This window comes from Homo sapiens, chromosome 18 (assembly GCF_000001405.40).
Source record: "Homo sapiens chromosome 18, GRCh38.p14 Primary Assembly".
In the NCBI taxonomy this organism is placed as follows: domain Eukaryota; kingdom Metazoa; phylum Chordata; class Mammalia; order Primates; family Hominidae; genus Homo; species Homo sapiens.
In genome coordinates this window covers 43,829,812-43,853,472 of record NC_000018.10, presented here as the reverse complement: position 1 = coordinate 43,853,472, position 23,661 = coordinate 43,829,812, and the positions used below count along the sequence as shown (strand labels likewise).

The following is a 23,661-nucleotide window of genomic DNA, read 5'->3' as shown; positions in this document are numbered from 1 at the left end:
CACTAACTAAATTACCCTGGGCTACTCCTATAATTTTTCTGGCTTATTTTCTAAAATATAAATCTCTGTCTCATCTAATTCAAGAAAATATTATGAAAAATAGATGCATCCATTAATTGATTCACTCAAAGATATTTTCTGAACTCCTACCACTCACACAACCAAACAAGAAAACACTATTGTTGGAGTTTTGACGAGTAAGATATGATTCCTGCTCTCAAATATCTTGTGCTCTATAGAAGATAAAATGTAGACATAAATGTGTAAAGAACGAAAGTAGTGGAGCAAAATCTATTTCAAGGAAGGATGGGATCTCCATGGAAGACAATGGGGAAAGTTGTCATTTGAACTAGGACTAGAACCACAATGAGGTGGACTGTATCACACCTATTACACATAAGGATGACTGTGTCAAAACACTGTTTTGAGAAAACTGCTCTGAAAATGATGTGTTGAAGGGAAAGAAAAGGGGACCAAATACAATATTTCTGAAAGGGTTTTGTATAGCTAAATGTGTAATGTAAACAAAACATATAACCATCATTATAAAAAACTCAGTCAAAAGACAAGCACTCTCTTTGGAAATGGACAGGGAATCAGAAAACTGAGGTCAACGTCATGAACAACTCTTGTCACCTCTTTTCAGTCTTATTGAGTGTAAATAGGGTTTGCGGCTCTTTCTCTCCTTCCTTCTCAAGACTATTTGGGAAATCGAATTGCTTTGAAAATTACAGTGGGTGGTGAACAACAAAAGATAAGTATGATGATATAAGTATTTAGAGTATGGGAAAAGAATCTTTACAGGAGTTGTTTTGACCACCTCACAGGACTATGATTTGTCAGAAAATGGTCTAGAAAAACTATGAAAATGGCATTATTTATATACACTTGGTAATCTCCTTTTCTCTCCTGATAATCTTAATTTTTTCAGTACTCTCTTCTACGCACACATACACACACACACACACGCACACAAGCATTCTTATTTAATCCATTTTCTACCATTCAGTAAAGTCTTTCCTACAAAAGAAAGCTTAAAATGTAAACCATTAGAAAAGCATGAATGGGACGTAATGCAAAACCTAATAAGAAACTGCCCTTGAGGACACTTTCATTGCAATATTAAAAATCCCCAAAGGGAAATACATTGATACTTAATGTTATTCTTTATTTTTCTTCAAACATCATGAAGCTGGTGGTAAAAAGCTGAGGATGAAGAGCCCTAAGCAAGACTTGTAATATTCCTCTCTAGCCCTGACTTAGCGCAGAGGCCTTCATTCACCATCCTCCATGGACCATGGCTCAAGATAATAAACACAGGCACGTAAAGGCAGCTTGGATTTTCCTGGTAAAAATAAAACTATTACATAAGTTTCTTAGGGCTACAGTAACAAATTACAAAAAAAAAAATTGATGACTTAAGAAAAACATTTATTCTCTCAAGTTTCTCGAGTCCAGAGGTCCAAAATGAAGGCATCATCAGGATCACTCTCTTTCTGATGACCCTGGGGGAACATCCTTCCTTGCCTCTTCTGGTATCTGATGGCTCCAGATGTTTGCTGGGGCTGCTATCACAAAGGACCATAGAATAGGTAGCTATAAAAACAGAAATGTATTTTCTCACAGTCTTGGGGCTAGAAGTGCATTGGCAGGGTTGGTTTTATTCTGAGGCCTCCCTCTTTGGCTTGTAGATGGCTGTTTTCTCCCTCTCCTTATAGGGTCTTACCACTGGATTTGTCTGTGTCCTAATTTCCTTTTCTTATTAATACAAGGATACCAATCCTTTTAGATTAGGACTCATCTTAATAACTTCAGTTAACTTCATTTATCCATTTCAAAGCCCAAACTTCAAGACCAGTTCTATTGTGAGACACTAGGGATTAGAAATTTCATGTATGAATTTGTGGGGGTCACAATTCAGCCTATAACAACTATAATCTGTTTCCATCTTCATATGGCCTTACCCTCTGTATGTCTCCTCCTCTTCTGTGTCAAACCTTCCTTTGCCTTTGTTTTATAAGACTAGTTTTTATTGGATTTGGGCTAATCTGGATAATACAGGATTATCTCCTCATCTCAAAATCCTTATTTATATCTGCAAAGGTTCATTTTCCAAATAACACCACATTTACAGCTTCTGAGGAATAGGGTGTGGACATGGCTTTTTAGAAACTATCATTAAAACCACTAAACTTATTTCACTAAGATATTGGTTACCCTAAGTCTTTCATTACATATTTTGTTCTTTTCAGTTGTACAAACCATCATATTTAAGTTTAAAGGGAGAGAATATTTCCTGGAAGAAGAGGAAGATGCCAGTATGCCACTAAATGAAGACAGTTATAGAATAAGAATAATCAGAAGTATTTTGGCTCGTCTGACATTTTTAATATTGTCTTTTACACCAAAGATTCAGAAAGCATGAAGACTTTTGGGTTTTGGCTAAGATTGAACAAGTCTTTCTGTATCTGTATTAAGAAAAAAAATAGCAGGAAAAAAATGCTGTTTCTAGGTAGTGAGCTTTATAACTATGACAGAAATACCATTCCTTTAGTTTTAATTCATTATGGAAAAACATATGTAAATGCTTAATATATATGTAGGTAATCTAAAATTCATAGATATTCTCTTGTTTAAACTACATATGCATTCAAGGTGAAAGGTCAGACTATAATAATCTATTTCATATATTATTTAACAAATATTTGTTGGGCAAATAACAGTTAGTGGCTATTAGAAAATCAATACTAGCTAGCTATTCTATGGGTTTTTATTGTGTTTAAAAGCAAAACCTTGTTTTGCATGAAAACTCACATAATCATGTATTCGTTCTTATAGGATAGGCACGAACAGATTTTCTAGGTTATAAACTGTGAGATTTAGGAAGCAGTGAAATATTAGGAAGCAGTTCAAAGTGGCCAGAGAAAAGGATTCTTGAGAGAGTATAATGAAAGAGAAAAGGTAGGGATATTTTAGAGTGGTCCTGGCACACTGTGCTTAAAAATTTGCATTGCATATGTTAGGCAGAAAGATAGCATTGGGAATGTTGCCCATTGATAAATATTATTGGGTATTCACAAAATGAAATATTGTAAAGCTGTGAAAAAATGATTTAGATAATAATATAGCAAATTTCCAAGACCTGGTTAGTTTTACACAGAAGAAACTATCGTAGTGAACAGGAAACGTACAGAATGGGAGAAAATTTTTGCAGTCTATCCATCTGAGAAAGATCTAATATCCAGAATCTACAAGGAACTTAAACAAATTTATGAGAAAAAAACAAACAGACCCATCAAAAAGTGGGTGAAGGATATGAACAGACATTTCTCAAAAGAAGACATTTATGCAGCAAACAAACATGGAAAAAAGCTCATCATTACTGGTCATTACATAAATGCAAATCAAAACCACAGTGAGATACAATCTCACGCCAGTTAGAATAGCAACCATTAAAAAGTCTGGAAAGAACAGATGCTGGAGAGGATGTGGAGCAATAGGAATGTTTTTACACTGTTGGTGGGAGTATAAATTAATTCAACCATTGTGGAAGACAGTGTGACGATTCCTCAAGGATCTAGAGCCAGAAATACCATTTGAGCCAGCAATCCCATTACTGGGTATATACCCAAAGGATTATAAATCAATCTACCATAAAGACATATGCACACATATGTTTATTGCAGCACAATTTACAATAGCAAAAACTTGGAACCAACCCAAATGCCCATAAATGATAGACTGGATAAATAAAATGTGGCACATATGCACCATGGAATACTATGCAGCCATAAAAGAGAATGAGTTCATGTCCTTTGCAGGGATATGGATGAAGCTGGAAACCATCATCCTCAGTGAACTAACACAGGAACAGAAAACCAAACACTGCATGTTCTCGCTCATAAGTGTGAGTTGAACAGTGAGAACACATGGACGCAGGGAGGGGAACATCACACATCAGGGCCTGTAGGGGGGTGGGGGAAGGGAAGGGAGAGTATTAGTACAAGTACCTAATGCATGCGGGGCTTAAAACCTAGATGATGGGTTGATAGGTGCAGCAAACTATCATGGCACATGTATACCTATATAACAAACCTGCACGTTCAGCACATGTAGCCCAGACCTTAAAGTCAAATTTTAAAAAAAGAAAATAAAAAGACCGATAATGTATACAATTATGGTTACATTCCTGCAAAAATATTGGAAATACCTACTCACACAAATAGTCACATGTGTATGCACACTTGTGTATGGAAAAAAAATTCTGAAAACATATGTATGAAATTTTGACCCTAATGCCAATGAGAAAGCTGACTAATAATGTAGACTTTAAAACCTTACTATTATTCTATACCCTTTTCTATTTTCAGTTAGATTTATTTTGGAATATGTTAATAACTATATGCTAAAATTAAAGAGAAGAATTTCAGGTTTAATGATGAGAATAAGTTGGAGAGGAACAGAAAAAAAGAACTCATTAGAAATCTTTTGAAATAATCCAGCATACGATTTGCAAAGGTCCAAATTAAGAAACAAGGATAAGCATAGGGAAAAGTGAAAGGATTAAAAAATATTTGAGGGTCACATTTTAGTATTTGATAACTGAATGGATGTGGGGAGTGGAGAAAGTGGTAAAGGAACTTTCAAGAAAAAGCTCGAGTTTCTACTTTGAGTGTGGTAATTTACAGGGCAATTGATAGATTTTTTTTTAAGGGCATAGAACAAGTGAATTTGGTGAATAGATGAGGAGACAATTTCGAATGTCTCTGGTTGGAGATACTTGTATCTAGAGGTAGAACTTTCTAAGTAATAGGTGAAAAGCATAATAGAAAATTGAAGCAAGACTGTTTGACCATTAAGTTCAGTGTTTTTCAGAAGTTGTTATATGTAGAAATGAGATAAAATAGTACTCTATCAAAGCTGCTTCCCCAACCTTCAACTTATTGGCAGTAATTGTTGGTCCATTTTACTCCCTGTCATTTTCCTTTTTCTCTCTTTTATTATTGGGATACAACATAAAGAATTTTACTATTTGAATAATCCATGGTGTTTAAGTTGGTAAAACGCTAGTCTTATCTTCTTGTTTATAAATATGAGAAAAATGAAGCAGAATGTTGCCTTTCACTCACCTACCAAGGAAAGATCTGAATGAGGTTTAACTGACTTCTAAGGTAGTGGTGGTTCTACAATCACATAATTGTGGAGGCAATTTTTACTTTGATTTCAGGTAAGTGAACTAGTAAAATCTGCTTAATGAAGAGAAGTCCAATCCATAAAAAAAAGTCAGAAACTGTGAATTACCTGATTTAACAAAGTAAATAAACTCCTTAAGATGGTTCAATGATCAGAGGATGGCTCATCCCTCTACAATTCCCAAAATTGATGAGTGTTGTTGGTTTTTGAGAGAATGCAGTTTATAGCTTTGGTCTCAGTTTATGCGTCTGATTTGCTTAGGTGGTTTTGGTTAGGGATGAGTAATCTCCGGCACTTATCATGTTCGGAATAAGTAGCTTTAAGCACTTTTTTAAAAACAAAATTTCAATTAGGTAAAACTCAAAACACTTCCTTTGGTCAGGCATTTTCTCTTAATTATGAAACCCATGTGAATGTTAATGGAAACTTAATCCATGTGTTTCTCATTCACTTGCATCCGATTCATCAAGTGCTGTTTTGTAACAGCCTTTGACATTAAAGAAGTATTCTGGGGCCTTTCTCTTAGAAACAGGAAGTGCTGTTCTGCCAAAAAGTAAATGAACTCTAACCTCCAAAGATTCAAATTCCATTTGAAATGCGGAGACTAAAGAAGAAGCACAGGATTTAACTTGAAAAAACATGTCTCCCAACCCTTTATTTGTTCAATTTTGGTTGTGGAAAATTACACTGTGAACACTTAACTGGGTTTGTTTTCTCTCCCCTGTTCCCGGAGAGCTGACTGTCAAGTCTATGGAGGGAGAGCTTTTGTTTTGAGTAAAGCTGATGTTTCTGAGCCCACAAACGTTTCAGAGGTTGTTAGGGAAATCCTCTTCACCATCAGGAGAGGCTGCATATCTGGAAAAGAGAAAGCATGCTTTCTGATTGAACCCTATTTTATTGCAACCATCAGAGGTTTTCTTCTCTCTTCTCTGGGTTGGGCAATCAGCTACATCAGAGAGGTAAATATGAGCAAAATGAGTGTAATTTGCTGTCATTCTCTGGGGATGGAATTTGGGCATGTTTTGTCTAATTTTATGTATTTATTTTTCATTTTCCAAAGTGATTACAATGTGCAGCCAAGTTTAAGAATTAGTCTCCGGTTCTCTTGGTACTCAGTGTAAAATCTCCATCCCCACCCCAAAAGTACTGAATCTGAATCTTCAGTTTCAAAAAGATCCCCAAATTTATGTCTAAAGTAATGTTTGAGAAGCAAGTTTTAAAAGTACAAATGCCTGAGTCCCACCAGTAGAGATTCTGATTTAACTGACTCTGATTACTAAGATTTTAAAAAAGGTTTTAAGAATGACTGCTCTAAATTACTTTGTAGAACCTCAGGTTCACTGAGTTTAGGAAATTAGCTGTCAGAATTTGATTATAACCTATCTATGACCCAGCAGTGTATAAAATGAGGGCCAATCATTTCATCACTGTCCATTTCTAGGTTAAGTGGATCATCACCAGGGTTAAGTTGATGAAAGTATTCCCAAACTATCACCTCCAAAAAAACTCATGTTACTGGAAAACCTGGCATTAGCATTTCATCGTTTGTCTTTCTACACTTTCTCTTCCCAAATGCAAAATTTATTTAAAGATAAATATCCTAATCACTGTGATATAAGTAAGAATGCTTGATCACTGTCTTCTGATTCACTGGAGAGGTTATTCTGAACTTGTGGCTTATGGTGCTGGGTAAAATAGTATTTGAGTAAATCTCCGGTTTAGAGAGGAGGGGAGAATGGCAGCCACTCACAGTCAGTGAAAGGGATCTAAAATGTCAGAAGAATAAAGCTCTTTGGTAACTTTTGTTTGAGGGATTAGCTGGCTAGAGCTTCAAAGGCTTGGGAGCATTTGCAGTTGTAAGGGATGCCAGAAGTGGGAAGTAGGGAAAAGAGGGATGACATGAGAATATCTGGGTTTTAAGATTAAGAAAATAAAAATAAATGAGAAACCTGGCAGGATGTTGTGATGGAGTCTGGACCACGGGAGGAGTTTCATTAAATTAATAAATAAAAGGGGTAGTAATGTTCCAAAGTAATACTGGGAAGAAACAGAAGGAGAAGAGGATGGTGAAAAATCAACAGCAAAACAATCAACTTGAAAAAGCTTGAACAGATGACCAAAATAATAATAATAATAATAATAAAAGTAAAATCAATGTTGGCTCAAAAACATAAGTATGTTTATAGAAAATATTTAAGGAAAAACAAATAACTGTTGTTTTTCTCTGTGACCCTCCACTTCTATTCAATCACCATGTTCCATTGAATTTACTCCCTAAATACTTTCAAATTCTCCCATTGGAATATTCCATCTCCCCTGATACTATCTAGGTTTTCCCTTGCAGGCTGGTTTCATTACTTATGATCTACATAGCAGCAAAAATGGTATGTTTGAAGTTCACAATCATTTAAAAGCCATTAATAAGAGAAAGTCTGAGTTCAAGCCCTAAAGACTTGAGTGCTATTTCTCCTGATTTGTGTGCACTAACACAGACTTCTGTGTTTGTGCTTCAACTGGGATGGCTGCCTGTCCATTTCTTATATCATTTTACTTTCTACCATGAAATAGAGGTTACTTGGAAGTCCTCTTCCATGCCATACATCTTGTTGACTACTGTATTTCACTTTCACCTCTTCTAAGGCTCAATAATATTGTACACTGTTTATGAACTCAGGCTTTAGAGTCAATCTGCAGGAACTTAATGACATGCTTTAATACCCACAGGCTCTGAATTGGGCAAATTGAACTATCTAAGCCTTAGTTTCCTCATGTCAAAATTAATAGGCACAGGTATCAGCACCAAATATATTGGCTTCTGTTATTTGTTGATTGGGTCATTGTGAAGATTAACTGAAATGAATTATTAACAGGTCAATAGGCCGGGCATGGTGGATCACGCCTATAATCCCAGCATTTTGGGAGGCCGATGTGGGCGGATCACGAGGTCAAGAGATCGAGACCATCCTGGCCAACATGGTGAAACCCTGTCTCTACTAAAAATAGAAAAATTAACTGGGCATGGTGGAGCATGCCTGTAGTCCCAGCTACTCGGGAGGCTGAGGCAGGAGAACCGCTTGAACCAGGGAGGCTGAGGTTGCAGTGATCTGAGATCACACCACTGCACTCCAGCCTGGTGACAGAGAGAGACTTCATCTCAAAACAAAAACAAAAACAAAAAACAACAAAAAACACACAACAAAAAAAAACAGCAGGTCAATAGTATAGTGTCTAGGATATAATGAGCCCCTAACAAATGTTTGCTATATATGCTATTGGCAACAATCACTGCTTTGAGAAAATTTTGGTAGACTCCCCAGATTTGGTCAGCTTTATTTGTTATTTATTCCTGTGGTACTGTGCTTATATGCTTTATGTCTGCCAAAACAAATCTAAATAAGTAATATCTCATGTGATTAATTATTTACTGGTTGTCTCTATTGGTAACATATAAGCTACAAGAGGACAGAAACCTTGTCTATCCTGGTACTTACCTTGGTTCTTTCACAATATTTTACACATAGCATAGACTCATCGGTAAATGAATGACCACTTCCTGTCACCATGTGAAGTGTTTTTCCAAATTTTCTTTTGATTTTCAGTAAAATCTTATTAATGATTTTACTGAAATGAGTATTAATATTGACAAAGAAACTGACAACTTGAAAAAGTAAATGATTTTTCAAAATAGATAATCAGGAATATAAACCGAGGATTTATGATTTTATATCAACTAAAGTTTGAATATACTAATCAATACATTTATTGAAACCAAAAATGCTAAATTAAAAGTAAAGCAATTTGAAATAAGGCCAATCCTGATTTTCTGATGTTTAATTATTGTCATATATTTCTGACTTATTCATTCCAAAATACTTATTGGACACCATTTTATATTAGAAGAGTTATGCTAGCTAGATATTAGTATTCGAGTAATGAAAAGGATTGAGGCAGTTTCTCTGTTCATGGACCTTATAATCTAATGGAGGAGACAGAAAAAAAATAAGTAGGTAAATAAATTGTACAGGTGCTGTTTCATGCATACTGGACTCAATAATTAAGACTAGTCCATACACAATGTATAACTAGGAAAACTGCACAAAATGTAAGAAAGAAAATGATTGAGAGTATCATCAAGTTAATATGTCAGCAAACTATTAACATGTGAGATTTCAGGGTAAGAAAGATAACCAGGAAAATAAATCTAATATTTATGGACACTATTCCTTTAGGTGAAAGAGGAAAGCTAAGAAACTAAGAGGCTAGGATGTGCTTTCAATAGTATAAATGGCCTAGATGTGCAGGTGTCTCAGTCCAGGTCTCTCCAAAATGAGATGACAATGGTGAACCTGTAGGTTTTAAGTCTGATTCTGATTTATTTTATCATAGGAGTAAGAGTGCACTAGAATTAGACAAAACTTCATGGGAATTTTAGTTCAATGTTGAATAATCTCACTCTCTGAAATTAGGATTGAAGTGATCCAGGAATGCTACTATACCCAAGTACCTGGAAGAAGCAAAGAAATACACTATCTTGAGTAAGAGTACAGCATTCTAGGCCTCAAATTATATCTTAAAACAATTTTTCAAACGAAATGTCAAGTACACTATCCAAAATAAACCACGACCACTAAAAGACAAAAAACATGGTAGTTGGGGGAGAGATGCTTACAAAAGAAATAACAAAAAGTAGGAAAAAAAAAGGACTTTAAATATTGAAGTTATCAGATTCATACTTTAAAATAATTATGCATGATATGTGCAGGTAAATAAGAGACAAAAGTGAAAATACTGGCAGGAAACTGGACATTCCATAAAGTCTATTGAAAATTTTAAAAATAAAAAATGTAAAAACAATAATTTAGAACTTAGTGGCTGAGTTTATATCTGAGTTTATAGCTAAAACTTGAATTAATAAACTGAAAGAGAAGACCAAAGAAAATATACATTGTGAAGACTATGAGAAAGAAATAGATTAAATATACAGAAGATAGAAAAAGGGACATAATGAGTAGTGTAAGATGGTCTGATATAAATGTCAATAAATTAATAAATAGCATCAATAAATATTAATAAATGAATTGATACCTTTGTAAATATCAATAAATGAGTAAAGAGCAAGCATATATTAATACAAAATTCAAGTACTATAATTGCAAAACTTGACCTAACTGGTATTTAACCAACAACGTCAAAATGCACAATTGTCAAAAATACATAGAAAGATTTGAAATAATTTAACCTTACATTGTGCCATACATTAGTCTCAGCAAATGTCAAAGCACTAAAATAATACTGAGTGGGTACTCTAACCACAATGCAATTCAGCTGGCAATAAGTAACAAAAATTAATCAGAATATACTGTTTAAAAAATAAAAAGTGAGCTTCAAAAATAAATCATTGATCAAAAAATAGGAGGAAAAATAATTTTTCAGTTAATTATATTAAAACGTATTAATAAAACAAATTCATATTTAGAGAAAAATGTGTAGAATTAAGCAATGTATTTTTTAAAAGAACAGCTGAACATAAAGAAATTAGAAATAGAACAAAAAAAATCCTAATAAAGTGTGAAGAAGGAAATGAAAATAATGGTAAAGATTAATAAAATAAAATACATACATACTAGGTAAATTATCTTCAAAGTTTAAAACTGGAAGGACACTTTAAACTCATACCCTCATACAAGAATAATCATGACCAAAAAAATTAAAGTTAGAAATAATAAAGTGGTCCTCAGCATAAATTTTATAAACAGTTAATAGATGATATGATGATAATATGGAAAACCTTACGCAAAATAATTTGAAATATTGAGGATTAAATTTGAAATAATTAAATGTATAGAAAAATATAAATTTCAAATCTAATCCCAAAAGGAATAGAAAATCAAAGTAGTTCTATAGGTACCACTGGTGAATTCTATTAAACATTTAGGAAAGAAACAATGCTAATATGCCACAAATTCTTTCAGAAAATTTTAAAAAAGAAACAATTTCAAACTACTTTATGAGGTATCCTTTAAATATAAACATGATAAGCATAGCAGCAAATAGAAAAAATTTAGCCAATATAGAAAAGATTAATAAAAATCTACAGAAAAATAAGTGTGTGTGTTTGTGTGTATAAGGTAGCATGACTAATTCAAAATTAGTCTGTATATTTGACTATTTCAAAATATTAATCAATGTAATTGACTGTATTAATATAAAAATTGATGACAATCATATGATCATCTTAAAGTGTCTTTTTTATTTTTAGTTTTTTAAATTAGTAGCTCTCATTTTAATTATTATTAGGCGCTTCAATTTTTACATGTTGATCATCTCAAACATACTATTTTCTTTTTTTTTAACCTTTTTTGTTTGTGAGACAGTCTCCCTCTGTCACCCAGGCTGGAGTGCAGTGGTGCGACCTCAGCTCACTGCAACCTTCGCTTTCCCAGCTCAAGCAATTCTCCTGCCTCAGCCTCCCGTTTAGCTGAGAATACAGGCACCTGCCATCACACCACACCTGGCTAATTTTTGTATTTTTAGTAGAGACAGGGTTTCACCATGTTGGTCAGGCTGGTCTCAAACTCCAGACCCCAAGTGATCCACCCACCTCAGCCTCCTGAAGTGCTGGAATTACAGGTGTGAGCCACTGCGCCCAGCCTAACCTTTTTATGTACTTAAAGTTCTAGGGTACATGTGCACAACGTGCAGATTTGATACATAGGTATACGTGTGCCATGTTGGTTTGCTGCACCCATCAACTCATCATTTACATTAGGTATTTCTCCTAATGCTATCCCTCCCCCAGCTCCCCACTCCACGACAGGCCCTGGTGTGTGATGTTCCCCTTCCTGTGTCCAAGTGATCTTATTGTTCAATTCCCACCCATAAGTGAGAACATGCGGTGTTTGGTTTTCTGTCCTTGTGTTAGTTTGCTGAGAATGATGGTTCACAGCTTCATCCATGTCCCTGCAAAGGACACGAACTCATCCTTTCTTATGGCTGCATAGTATTCCATGGTGTATATGTGCCACATTTTCTTAATCCAGCCTATCATTGGTGGACATTTGGGTTGGTTCCAAGTCTTTGCTATTGTGAATAGTGCTGCAATAAACATATGTGTGCATGTGTCTTTACAGTAGCATGATTTATAATCCTTTGGGTATACACCCAGTAATGGGATTGCTGGTTCAAATGGTAATTCTAGTTCTAGATCCTTGAGGAATCATCACACTGTCTTCCACAATGGTTGAACCAACTTGCACTTCCACCAACAGTGTAAAAGCATTCCTATTTCTGCACATCCTCTCCAGCATCTGTTGTTTCCTGACTTTTTAATGATTGCCATTCTAACTGGTGTGAGATGGTATCTCATTGTGGTTTTGATTTGCCTTTCTCTGATGAGCAGTGATGATGAGCATTTTTTCATGTGTCTGTTGGCTGCATAGATGCCTTCTTTTGAGAAGTGTCTGTTCATATCTTTTGCTTACTTTTTGATGGGGTTGTTTTTTTCTTGTAAATTTGTTTGAGTTCTTTGTAGATTCCAGATATGAGCCCTTTTGTCAGATGGGTAGGTTGATAAAATTTTCTCCCATTCTGTAGGTTGCCTGTTCACTCTGATGGTAGTTTCTTTTGCCGTGCAGAAGCTCTTTAGTTTAATTAGAACCCATTTGTCTATTTTGGCTTTTGTTGCCATTGTTTTAGGTGTTTAGTCATGAAGTCCTTGCCCATGCCTATGTCCTGAATGGTATTGCCCAGGTTTTCTTCCAGGGTTTTTATGGTTTTAGGTCTAATATATAAGTCTTTAATCCATCTTGAATTAATTTTTGTATAAGGTGTAAGGAAGGGATCCAGGTTGAGCTTTCTACATATGGCTAGCCAGTTTTCCCAACACCATTTATCAAATAGGGAATCCTTTCCCCATTTCTTGTTTTTGTCAGATTTGTCAAAGATCAGATGGTTCTAGATGTGTGGAGTTATTTGTGAGGCCTCTGTTCTGTTCCATTGGTCTATATATCTGTTTTGGTAACAGTACCATGCTGTGTTGGTTGCTGTAGCCTTGTAGTATAGTTTGAAGTCAGGTAGTGTGATGCCACCAGCTTTGTTCTTTTTGCTTAGAATTATCTTGGCAATGCGGTCTCTTTTTTGGGTTCCATATGAACTTTAATGTAGTTCTTTTCCAATTCTGTGAAGAAAGTCATTGGTAGCTTGATGGGGATGGCATTGAATCTATAAGTTACTTTGGGCAGTATGGCCATTTTCATGATATTGATTCTTCCTATCCATGAGCATGGAATAGTCTTACATTTGTTTGTGTCCTCTTTTATTTCGTTGACCAGTGGTTTGTAGTTCTCCTTGGAGAGGTTCTTCACATCCCTTGTAAGTTGGATTCCTAGGTATTTTATTCTCTTTGAAGCAATTGTGAATGGAAGTTCACTCATGATTTAGCTCTGTTTGTCTGTTAATGGTGTATAGGAATGCTTGTGATTTTTCACATTGATTTTGTATCCTGAGATTTTGCTGTAGTTTCTTATCAGCTTAAGCAGATTTTGGGCTGAGACGATGAGGCTTTCTAAATATACAATCATGTCATCTGCAAACAGGGACAATTTGACTTCCTCATTTCCTAATTGAATACCCTTTATTTCTTCTCTTGCCTGATTGCCCTGGCCAGAACTTCCAACACTATGTTGAATAGGAGCAGTGAGAGAGGGCATCCTTGTCTTGTGCTGGTTTTCAAAGGGAATGCTTCCAGTTTTTGCTCATTTAGTATGATATTGGCTGTGGGTTTGTCATAAATAGCTCTTATTATTTTGAGATATGTTCCATCAATACCTAGTTTATTGAGAGTTTTTAGCATGAAGGCTGTTGAATTTTGTCAAAGGCCTTTTCTGCATCTATTGAGATAATCATGTGGTTTTTGTTGTTGGTTCTGTTTATGAAATGGATTACGTTTATTGATTTGCATATGTTGAACCAACCTTGCATCCCAGGGATGAAGCCGATGTGATTATGGTGCATAAGCTTTTTGATGTGCTGCTGGATTCAGTTTGCCAGTATTTTATTGAGATTTTTGCATCAATGTTCATCAGGGATATTGGTCTAAAATTCTTTTTTTGGTTGTGTATCTGCCAGGCTTTGGTATCAGGATGATGTTGGCCTCATAAAATGAGTTAGGGAGGATTCCCTCTTTTTCTATTGATTGGAATAGGTTCAAAAGGAATGGTACCAGCTCCTCTTTGTACCTCTGGTAGAATTAGGCTGTGAATCCTTCTGGTCTTGCATTTTTTTTTTGGTTGGTAGGCTATTAATTATTGCCTCAATTTCAGAGCCTGTTATTAGTCTATTCAGAAATTCAATTTCTTCCTGGTTTAGTCTTGGGAGAGTGTATGTGTCCAGGAATTTATCCATTTCTTCTAGATTTTCTAGTTTATTTGAGTAGAGGTGTTTATAGTATTCTCTGATGGTAGTTTGTATTTCTGTGGGATCAGTGGTGATATCCCCTTTTTTGTTTTTTATTGCATCTATTTGATTCTTCTCTCTTCTCTTCTTTATTGGTCTTGCTAGCGGTCTATCAATCTTGTTGATCTTTTCAAAAACCAGATCCTGGATTCATTGATTTTTTGAAGGGTTTTTTGTGTCTCTATCTCCTTTAGTTCTGCTCTGATCTTAGTTATTTCTTGCCTTCTGCTAGCTTTTGAAATTGTTTGCTCTTGCTTCTCTAGTTCTTTTAATAGTGATGTTAGCCTGTCGATTTTAGATCTTTCCTTCTTTCTCTAGTGGGCATTTAGTGCTATAAATTTCCCTCTACACACTGCTTTAAATGTGTCCCAGAGATTCTGGTACATTGTGTCTTTGCTCTCATTGGTTTCAAAGAACATCTTTCTTTCTGCCTTCATTTCATTATTTACCCAGTAGTCATTCAGGAACAGTTGTTGAGTTTCCACGTAGTTGTGCAGTTTTGAGTGAGTTTCTTAATCCTGAATTCTAATTTGATTGCACTGTGGTCTGAGAGACAGTTTGTTGTGATTTCTATTCTTCTACATTTGCTGAGGAGTGCTTTACTTCCAACTATGTGGTCAATTTTGGAATAAGTGTGACGTGGTGCTGAGAAGAATGTATATTCTGTTGATTTGGGATGAAGAGTTCTGTAGATGTCTATTAGATCTGCTTGTTGCAGAGCTGAGTTCAGGTCCTGGCTATCCTTGTTAACCTTCTGTCTCATTGATCTGTCTAATATTGACAGTGGGGTGTTGAAGTCTCCCATTATTATTGTGTGGGAGTCTAAGTCTCTTTGTAGGACCTAAGAACTTGCTTTATAAATCTGGGTGCTGCTTTATTTGGTGCATATATATTTAGGATAGTTAGTTCTTCTTGTTGAATTGATCCCTTTACCATTATGCAATCGCCTTTTTTGTCTCTTTTGATCTTTGTTTGTTTAAAGTCTGTTTTATCAGAGACTAGGATTGCAACCCCTGCTTTTTTTTTTTTTTGATTTCCATTTGCTTTGCAGATCTTCCTCCATCCCTTTATTTTGAACCTATGTGCGTCTTTGCACGTGAGATGGGTGTCCTGAATACAGCACACTGATGGGTCCTGACTCTTTATCCAATTTGCCACTCTGTGTCCTTTAATTGGGGCACTTAGCCCATTTACATTTTAGGTTAATATTGTTATGTCTGAATTTGATCCTACCATTATTATTTTTTCTATTTTGCCCGTTAATTGATGCAGTTTCTTCATAGCATCGATGGTCTTTACAATTTGGCATGTTTTTGCAGTGACTGGTACTGGTTGTTTCTTTCCATGTTTAGTGCTTCCTTGAGGAGCTCTTGTAAGGCAGGTCTGGTGGTGACAAAATCTCTCATCAATTGCTTGTCTGTAAAGGATTTTATTTCTCCTTCACTTATGAAGCTTAGTTTCTTCATAAATTCAGGTTTGAAAATTCTTTTATTTAAGAATGTTGAATATTGGCCCCCACCCTCTTCTGGCTTGTAGAGTTTCTGCTGAGAGATCTGCTGTTAGTCTAATGGGAATCCCTTTGTGGGTAACTCGATCTTTCTCTCTGGCTGCCGTTAACACTTTTTCCTTCATTTCAACCTTGGTGAATCTGATAATTATGTGTCTTGGGGTTGCTCTTCTCGAGGGGTATCTTTGTGGTGTTCTCTGTATTTCCTGAATTTGAATGTTTGCCTGCCTTGCTAGGTTGGGGAAGTTCTCCTGGATAATATCCTGAAGAGTGTTTTCTAACTTGGTTCCATTCTCCCCATCACTTTCAGGTACACCAATCAAACATAGATTTGGTCTTTTCATGTATTCCCATATTTCTTGGAGGCTTTGTTCATTTCTTTTTACTCTTTTTTTCTCTAAACTTCTCATGTCGCTGTATTTCATTAATTTGATCTCCAATCACGGATATCCTTTCTTCCACTTGATTGAATCGGCTACTGAAACTTGTGTATGCATCACGAAGTTCTCGTGCCATGGTTTTCAGCTCCATCAGGTCATTTAAGGTCTTCTCTACACTGTTTATTCTAGTTAGCCATTCGTCTAATCTTTTTTCAAGGTTTTTAGCTTCCTTGCCATGGGTTCAAACATCCTCCTTTAGCTCGCAGAAGTTTGTTATTACTGACTTTCTGAAGCCTACTTCTGTCAACTTGTCAAATTCATTCTCCATCCAGCTTTGTTCCGTTGCTGGCGAGGAGCTGTGATCCTTTGGAGGAGAAGAAGCACTCTGATTTTTAGAATTTTCAGCTTTTCTGCTCTTGTTTCTCCCATCTTTGTGGTTTTATCTACCTTTGGTCTTTGATATTGGTGACCTACAGATGGGGTTTTGGTGTAGATGACCTTTTTGTTGATGTGGATGCCATCCCTTTCTGTTAGTTTTCCTTCTAACAGTCAAGTACCTCAGCTGCAGGTCTGTTGGAGTTTGCTGAAGTTCCACTCCAGACCCTGTTTGCCTGGGTATCACCAGCAGAGGCTGCATAACAGCAAATATTGCTGCCTAATCCTTCCTCTGGAAGTTCATTCCAGTGGGGCAGCCACCTATATGAAGTGTCTGTCAGCCCCTACTGGGAGGTGTCTCCCAGTTAGGCTACAAGGGTGTCAGGGACCCACTTAAGGAGGCAGTCTGTCCGTTCTCAGCACTCAAACGCCATGCTGGGAGAATGACTGCTCTCTTCAGAGCTGTCAGACAGGGATGTTTAAGTCTGCAGAAGTTGTTTGCTGCCTTTTGTTCAGCTATGTCCTGCCCACAGAGGTGGAGTCTAGAGGGAGTAGGCCTTGTTGAGTTGTGGTGGGCTCTGCCCAGTTCAGTTCCTGACTGCTTTGTTTACCTACTCAAGCCTCAGCAATGGTGGACACCCCTCCCCAAGCCAGGATGCCACCCTGTAGCCTTGCAGATCAATCTCAGTCTGCTGTGCTAGCAGTGAGCAAGGCTCCATGGGCGTGGGACCTGCTGAACCAGGTACAAGAGAGAATCACCTTGCCTGCCAGTTGCTAAGACCTTGGGAAAAGCACAGTATTTTGGCAGGATTGTCCCATTTTTCCAAGTACTCTGTCACAACTTCTCTTGGCTAGGAAAGGGAATCCCCTGACCCCTTGTGCTTCCTGGGTGAGGCGACGCCCCACCCCGCTTCAGCTCACCCTCTGTGGGCTGCACCCACTGTCCAATCAGTCCCAGTGAGATGAACAAAGTACCTCAGTTGGAAAGTCAGAAATCACCCATCTCCTGCATCAATCACACTGAGAGCTGCAGACTGGAGCTATTCCTATTCAGCCATCTTGGAACACCCCTAAAGTATTTTTTAAATAATTTCATCTCACAGTAATGATTAAAAAAATGCGCTAGCATCCTAAATTCAGAAGAACACTACATTAATCTGATAAAATATAAGTAGAAAAATCATTTACAACAACCATCATGTGTAATAATAAAATGTTGAATGACAAGAATTCCCAGTACAAATGCTTTCACTCACTATTGTTCTGGAAATCTTAGTTAAAAAAAAAAAAACAAAACAAAACAATAAATAACTTTTTCAGGATGAAAAAACCTAAATAAAAGCCAAAGAGTTTGAGACATGCCTGGGCAACATAGGGATACCTCATTTCAACAAAAAGAAAAAAAAAGTAAGTCAGGCGTAGCAATGCACACCAAAGTCCTAGCTACTTGAGGTGCTAAGCTGGGAGGATTGCTTGAGTCCAAAAGATCGAGGCTGCAGTGAGCCAAGATCATGCCACAGCACTCCAGCCTGGACGACATGGTGAGACTTTTTCTCAAAAAAAAAGTCATTATTTGTAGAAGATATAATCCACAAGAAAATTCACCAGAATCTACAGATAAGTTATCAGAACTGACACATTAGTATAGCAAGATTTGTAGTTACAAAGTCAATATTTTTTTAAAAAAATTGTATTTTTATATTCAAGCAATGAAAAATAAGAAAGCATGATCTTCAAAATGCCATTTATAATCAGAAAAAAATCAAATGCTTAGAAATAAATTTAACAGAATATATACAAGACTTCTAAACAGAAAACTATAAAAATATTATTGCCACAAACAAAAACTTTAATAAATAGGAGACAATCATAGTAAAAGGATGAAAAATGTGAATTATCTCTGAACCAATCTATGAATTTGATTCAATATCAATCAATATTGTGAAAGTTTGCTTTTTCTTCTGGGGGTTGTGTGTGTGTGTGTGTGTGTGTATCTTATAACTTAATGAACTGATTCTAAAATGTATGTGATAATGGAAAGAGCCAAGAAGAGTTGAAAAAGCCTTTAAAAAGGAAAAACTGAGTGAATGCATTTTATATTAGATATCAATACTTTTAAATCTACAGAAATTAGATCATCATACAGTTAAGCTAAGAATAACAAAAGGCCAAATAAATGGAGTCTAGAAACAGGACAATGATAATATGGACCTATGATGACAGTCGTGACACTGCAGCGAAGTATAAAATGAACAGTCTTTTAATGAATATGATTGGACAGTCAACTATTCCTATGAAAAAATAATAAAATTGACCCCTACTCATACATTCACAAATATCAAATACCGATTTATTGTCAATCTAAAGTGAAAAAGAAAAATAATGAAATTTCTTGAAGATAATATGGGAGAATACAGGGCACTAAAATAATCACAGAGGAAAAACTCATAAAATTAACTTTATCAGAATAAAGAATATTTATACATATATTCATCAGAGAAGATTTAATGACGGACAAGAGAAGCCACAAAAAGGGAAAAATATTAATAATGCTTTTAACCTACAATTCTGAAGGAATTTTCCAAGGGCAGCAGCTACTCCTAGCTGAAAAGTAACCTTAGTATATTTTAAGAATGTTAGTGACCTGAGCCATATGAAAGGGAACATGATATATAACAGGACTCTAGCTTAGATAAATGAATGGTAAAGGCCTACATTAGTATTTCTAAGGGCACGAACTAGAGATTTCCAGATAAAAGTAATATACAATGATGTCAGTGGGTGCAGACCTGAAACTGGAAGTGGTGGGAGATGTTGAGACAGTTAAAGTATTTCTGCCCCCAGAGGCTGATAATTAGAGAAGCCCCTAAATGCCCATTGCAGCAAGAACTTATGTAACAGGTGGTCAATCCCCAGAGCTTGTTTAGGGCAAGGAGTAAAGAAATAGAGTCTCACATACCAAAAAATATTTCTACAGGACGATTTTTCTAGATAGACTGTACCAGGACTCAACTCATCAGGAGTCGAATATGAACCAGGAGTCTGAATACCTCACTATTTAGGTCACTTGTCATCACAGAATCAGAAAACTGCAATTTGCTTTGATGTTTTCCTTTTATTATTTATTTTTCCATAGCATCTTAGCAAGTTTTATTTTAAATGCTTTTGCTTAAAAACAAAAAGAAAAAGAAAAATAATTTTTTATCAAATTTGGCTGATGATTAATGCGGGAATTTTGGGGAGAAGAAGAAAACAAATCCGCCTACATTTTTTCAGAAAAGCTACAGTAGGTACAGCACCCCGGAGACACAGTGAAGTCACGCCAGCTGGAGAAATGGGAAAGTAACAGAACCAAGGCTGTAAGTGGGATGAGTTCCCCACATCAAAGGAAGTCCTGGGAATAACTAAGATGGCTGTCTCTCTCTCTCTCTCTCTCTCTCTCTCTATATATATATATATGATTAGGAATCAGAATGTTAAAATTTTCCCAAGTGCTCCTTATGTCAGACCCAGAATTACTTTCAATCTCTTTCATGACTGTCATGTTTACCTGTTCATGGCATGTTCTACGCCTTGTCTGGAGAAGTGTTCTGGGAAGCTGGGAAGTATGGCTATTGTGTATCTAAAAGGCATATTCAAGGCTTAATCTTTGGTAAACAAGAGTGTTCAGATAAGACTGCAGCTGGGAAGAGGCACCACTGGAAGATAGGTGAGGTAAGAGGTTCTCAAGGCAACTCTAAAAACCATCTTTTGTCCAGTTAGGTCCCTGGCCTTTATGTTTTATATAGGTTATTGGCCTATGTATTTTTACAATATGATCATTAGGGTTGGGGAATAAGGTTGACCAAGATTTCCCAGACATTTGAGTATAGATGAGTCATAGCAGCTTGCAGAGGGTCTCTGAAGATACCCTAGATATTTTGGAGTATAAACAATTACTTTGTTAGCAACAGTGGATTATATTAAGCTGAAAGGATGATTTAGCCACAAAATTGAACTATGTGAAAAAAATTAAGGGATCTATTCAATTTACAATTGCATCAAACATAAATAAACCAATAAGCTACTGGGAGTAAACGTGACCAAGGAAGTGAAAGAGCCTTATACCAGAAACAATAAACACTGAGGAAATAAATTAAAGATTACACAAATATTAATAAATGGAAAGACATCTTGTTTTCATGGATTGAATTAATATTTAAATGTCCATACTACCCAAAGGGATCCAGAGATTCAGTGCAATCCTTATTAAAATTCTAATGTCATTTTTCATAGATATAGGGAAAAAATTCTAAAATTTTGCTTGCTTGGGCACCACATCTACTGAAATTGGAACAACATAGAAAAGATTAGCATGGCTCCTGTGCAAGGATGATATGCAAATTCATAAAGCATTGCACACTTTTTTTATAGTAATACTATTCACAATAGCAAAGACATAAAATCTACCCAGGTTTCCATCAACAGTGGATTGGATTTTTAAAAATGTGGTAAATATACACCATGGAATTCTATGCAGCTATAAAAAAGAACACAATCATATCCTTTGCAGGAACATGAATACAGCTGCAGGCCATTATCTTAAGTGAATTAACACAGAAACAGCAAACCAAAAACTGCATGTTTTTACTATAAATGGGAGCTAGACATTGGGTACACACAGACACAAAGATGGGAGCAATAAACACTAAGGATTCTAACAGTGGAGAGGGAGAGAAGGGGGAAAGATAGGAAAACCACCTATCAGATACTATGTTCACTGCTTGGATGTTAGGATCATTAGAAGCCCAAACCTCAGCATCAGGCAATATATCCATGGAAGAATCCTGCACATGTACCCTTTGAATGTAGAGTAAAATAAAAATTTTAATCCTAAAATTTGCACGGAACCACAAAAGACCCCAAATAGCCAATGAAATCTTGCCCAAAATGTGCATAGGTGGAGGCCTGTTCACCTAAACCTACTCATCTCAATGAAGAGCACAGGAAATTATGTCCATTTAATTTCACTTTCCTCTGTAAGCCCATTCTTGATCTCTGGGTTTTTGTTTTAATATTTGTATTTTAAATCAGAAATTGATTTTTCCACAGACATTTCTGATTTCTTTTTCTTAATCATTAATGAGGCAGTTTTACCCTACTGAGGTAAGTAAACCTACTAATAGAGTTATGCCATGGAGCTAAGATCTGTGAAGAAGTTCCAGCTGTTTATTTTTTCATCTCCCAGACAACTCCAGGAATGGGCATCCAATGCCTTTTGAGTTATACTTTCCATGTCTACATTGAAAATGGAACTAGAATTTGGGGGAAAAAAAAAGGCCTCCGTGTTTGAGCTGGCGGCCGGCGGCTGTGTAATTATCATTGCTCTTCTTTATTAACTGCTCGCCTTCGCCTTATGTGGTGCTTTGTTGATAGATGTAACCTCAATCTTGTTGCTATGGTGACAGTAACAGTCACTGAGAAGACTTTGTTTATGGTAAACAAATCCAGGCATATGCTTGAAGCCTGGTGGAACAGTTTTCCAGCTTCCCTTACACTGCTGTCCCTGAATGAAATCAAATAGCTCCAACTGAAAAACCCACAGCCTGGATTTGAAATATAAAAAATAGGAAACAGTCCTGAGATTACTGTTTCTTATGTGCGTGGGAATGGCCCCGTATATAGGTCTATGTTCACGAGTCAAGGCTCCCTGTTGAAGGGGACTCTCTGTGCAACACACGCAGAGGAATTGACCTGGGAGTGAGAGAAAACCTCCCATCCTGAGGGCTGTTGGCATCAATAGTGAAGCTGGGATGGTACATTAACATAATGACAAAAAATGCTTCTCTCTGCCCCTTACCAAATCCTCTCTGCTAGGCATGCTGAATTCTTATATATTGGAGAAAAAATTCCTTCCAGAACACTCTCATAAACATTGAAGTAAGACACATTCAGCCCCATTTCTTAGATGTTTTTATTATATGAACGTGAACCACCATTTGAAGGAGAACAGTTGTCATGTAGATAGATGGAATTGAGGGTCAGATTTACTTCTCCATGGTGAATGTATTTGTGGTTGGCCTGGCTTTAGTGGCCCAACACATTCCCTGGCTCTCTTTCCCTATCTCTCTCACCTACCTCCTCAAATGTTTTCTCTCCAAACTGACAACTGCTGTCTAAAATTAAAACACCAAATCTTTTCCCCTCACTCTTCTGCATTATAAGGCTTTGATGGCTCACTTAAGAATGAAAACTTAAAAATTTCAAAGAATGAAAATTTGAAAAGCATTATAATGAAATTGAAATGGTGTGTACAAACCATCAGCTATTTATGGCCAACAGTGTGCACAAATTAGAGACCATTTCTTGGTACCAAAACATGCAGGAAGAAAGTGGACTGCCTAGCTGCAACGGGATATCTTTCAGTAGAGAACAGAGGGCCAACAGCCTGAAATTCCAAGAACCATTTTTTTGGATTTCATAACAGCTCTTGAGAACTAGTAGAATCTTGCTTGTTCATTCTTTTCACCACCAACCAAAGGGCTTTACTTACCTTAGCTCTCAGGTCTCAGGGTCCCCAGGTGTGTGGCTCTACAGAACAGTTGAGCCTTAACACAGCGATTTTTAATCCCTCAGACAGAATTAAACTTCCTGCTAAATATTTTCTTGTTTTCACCTTTTACTTGGGTATTTGTCTCATAAGCCCACACTGAGAATACAATGTTGCAGGGTTTTATGTAGCTCATTAATTCGTGTTCTCCAGTGAGGGGGTCT

General features: G+C 36.3%; 1 long non-coding RNA gene and 1 pseudogene across 1 annotated transcript in view, besides 1 other annotated feature; both read left to right on the top strand.

The window, feature by feature from the left end:
- Positions 1-23,661, top strand: part of LOC105372088 (uncharacterized) — a 122,698-nt gene that overhangs the window by 79,912 nt on the left and 19,125 nt on the right. The window lies entirely within an intron of this gene.
- Positions 6,585-7,401: an enhancer, noted in NCBI's record as "OCT4-NANOG hESC enhancer chr18:41426037-41426853 (GRCh37/hg19 assembly coordinates)". NCBI's record gives its function as "activates a minimal SCP1, AML or CMV promoter by ChIP-STARR-seq in naive H9 embryonic stem cells {active_cell/tissue: H9 hESC(naive)}" and the evidence as "EXISTENCE:reporter gene assay evidence [ECO:0000049][PMID:30033119]".
- On the top strand, positions 21,208-21,314 carry RNU6-443P (RNA, U6 small nuclear 443, pseudogene; annotated as a pseudogene).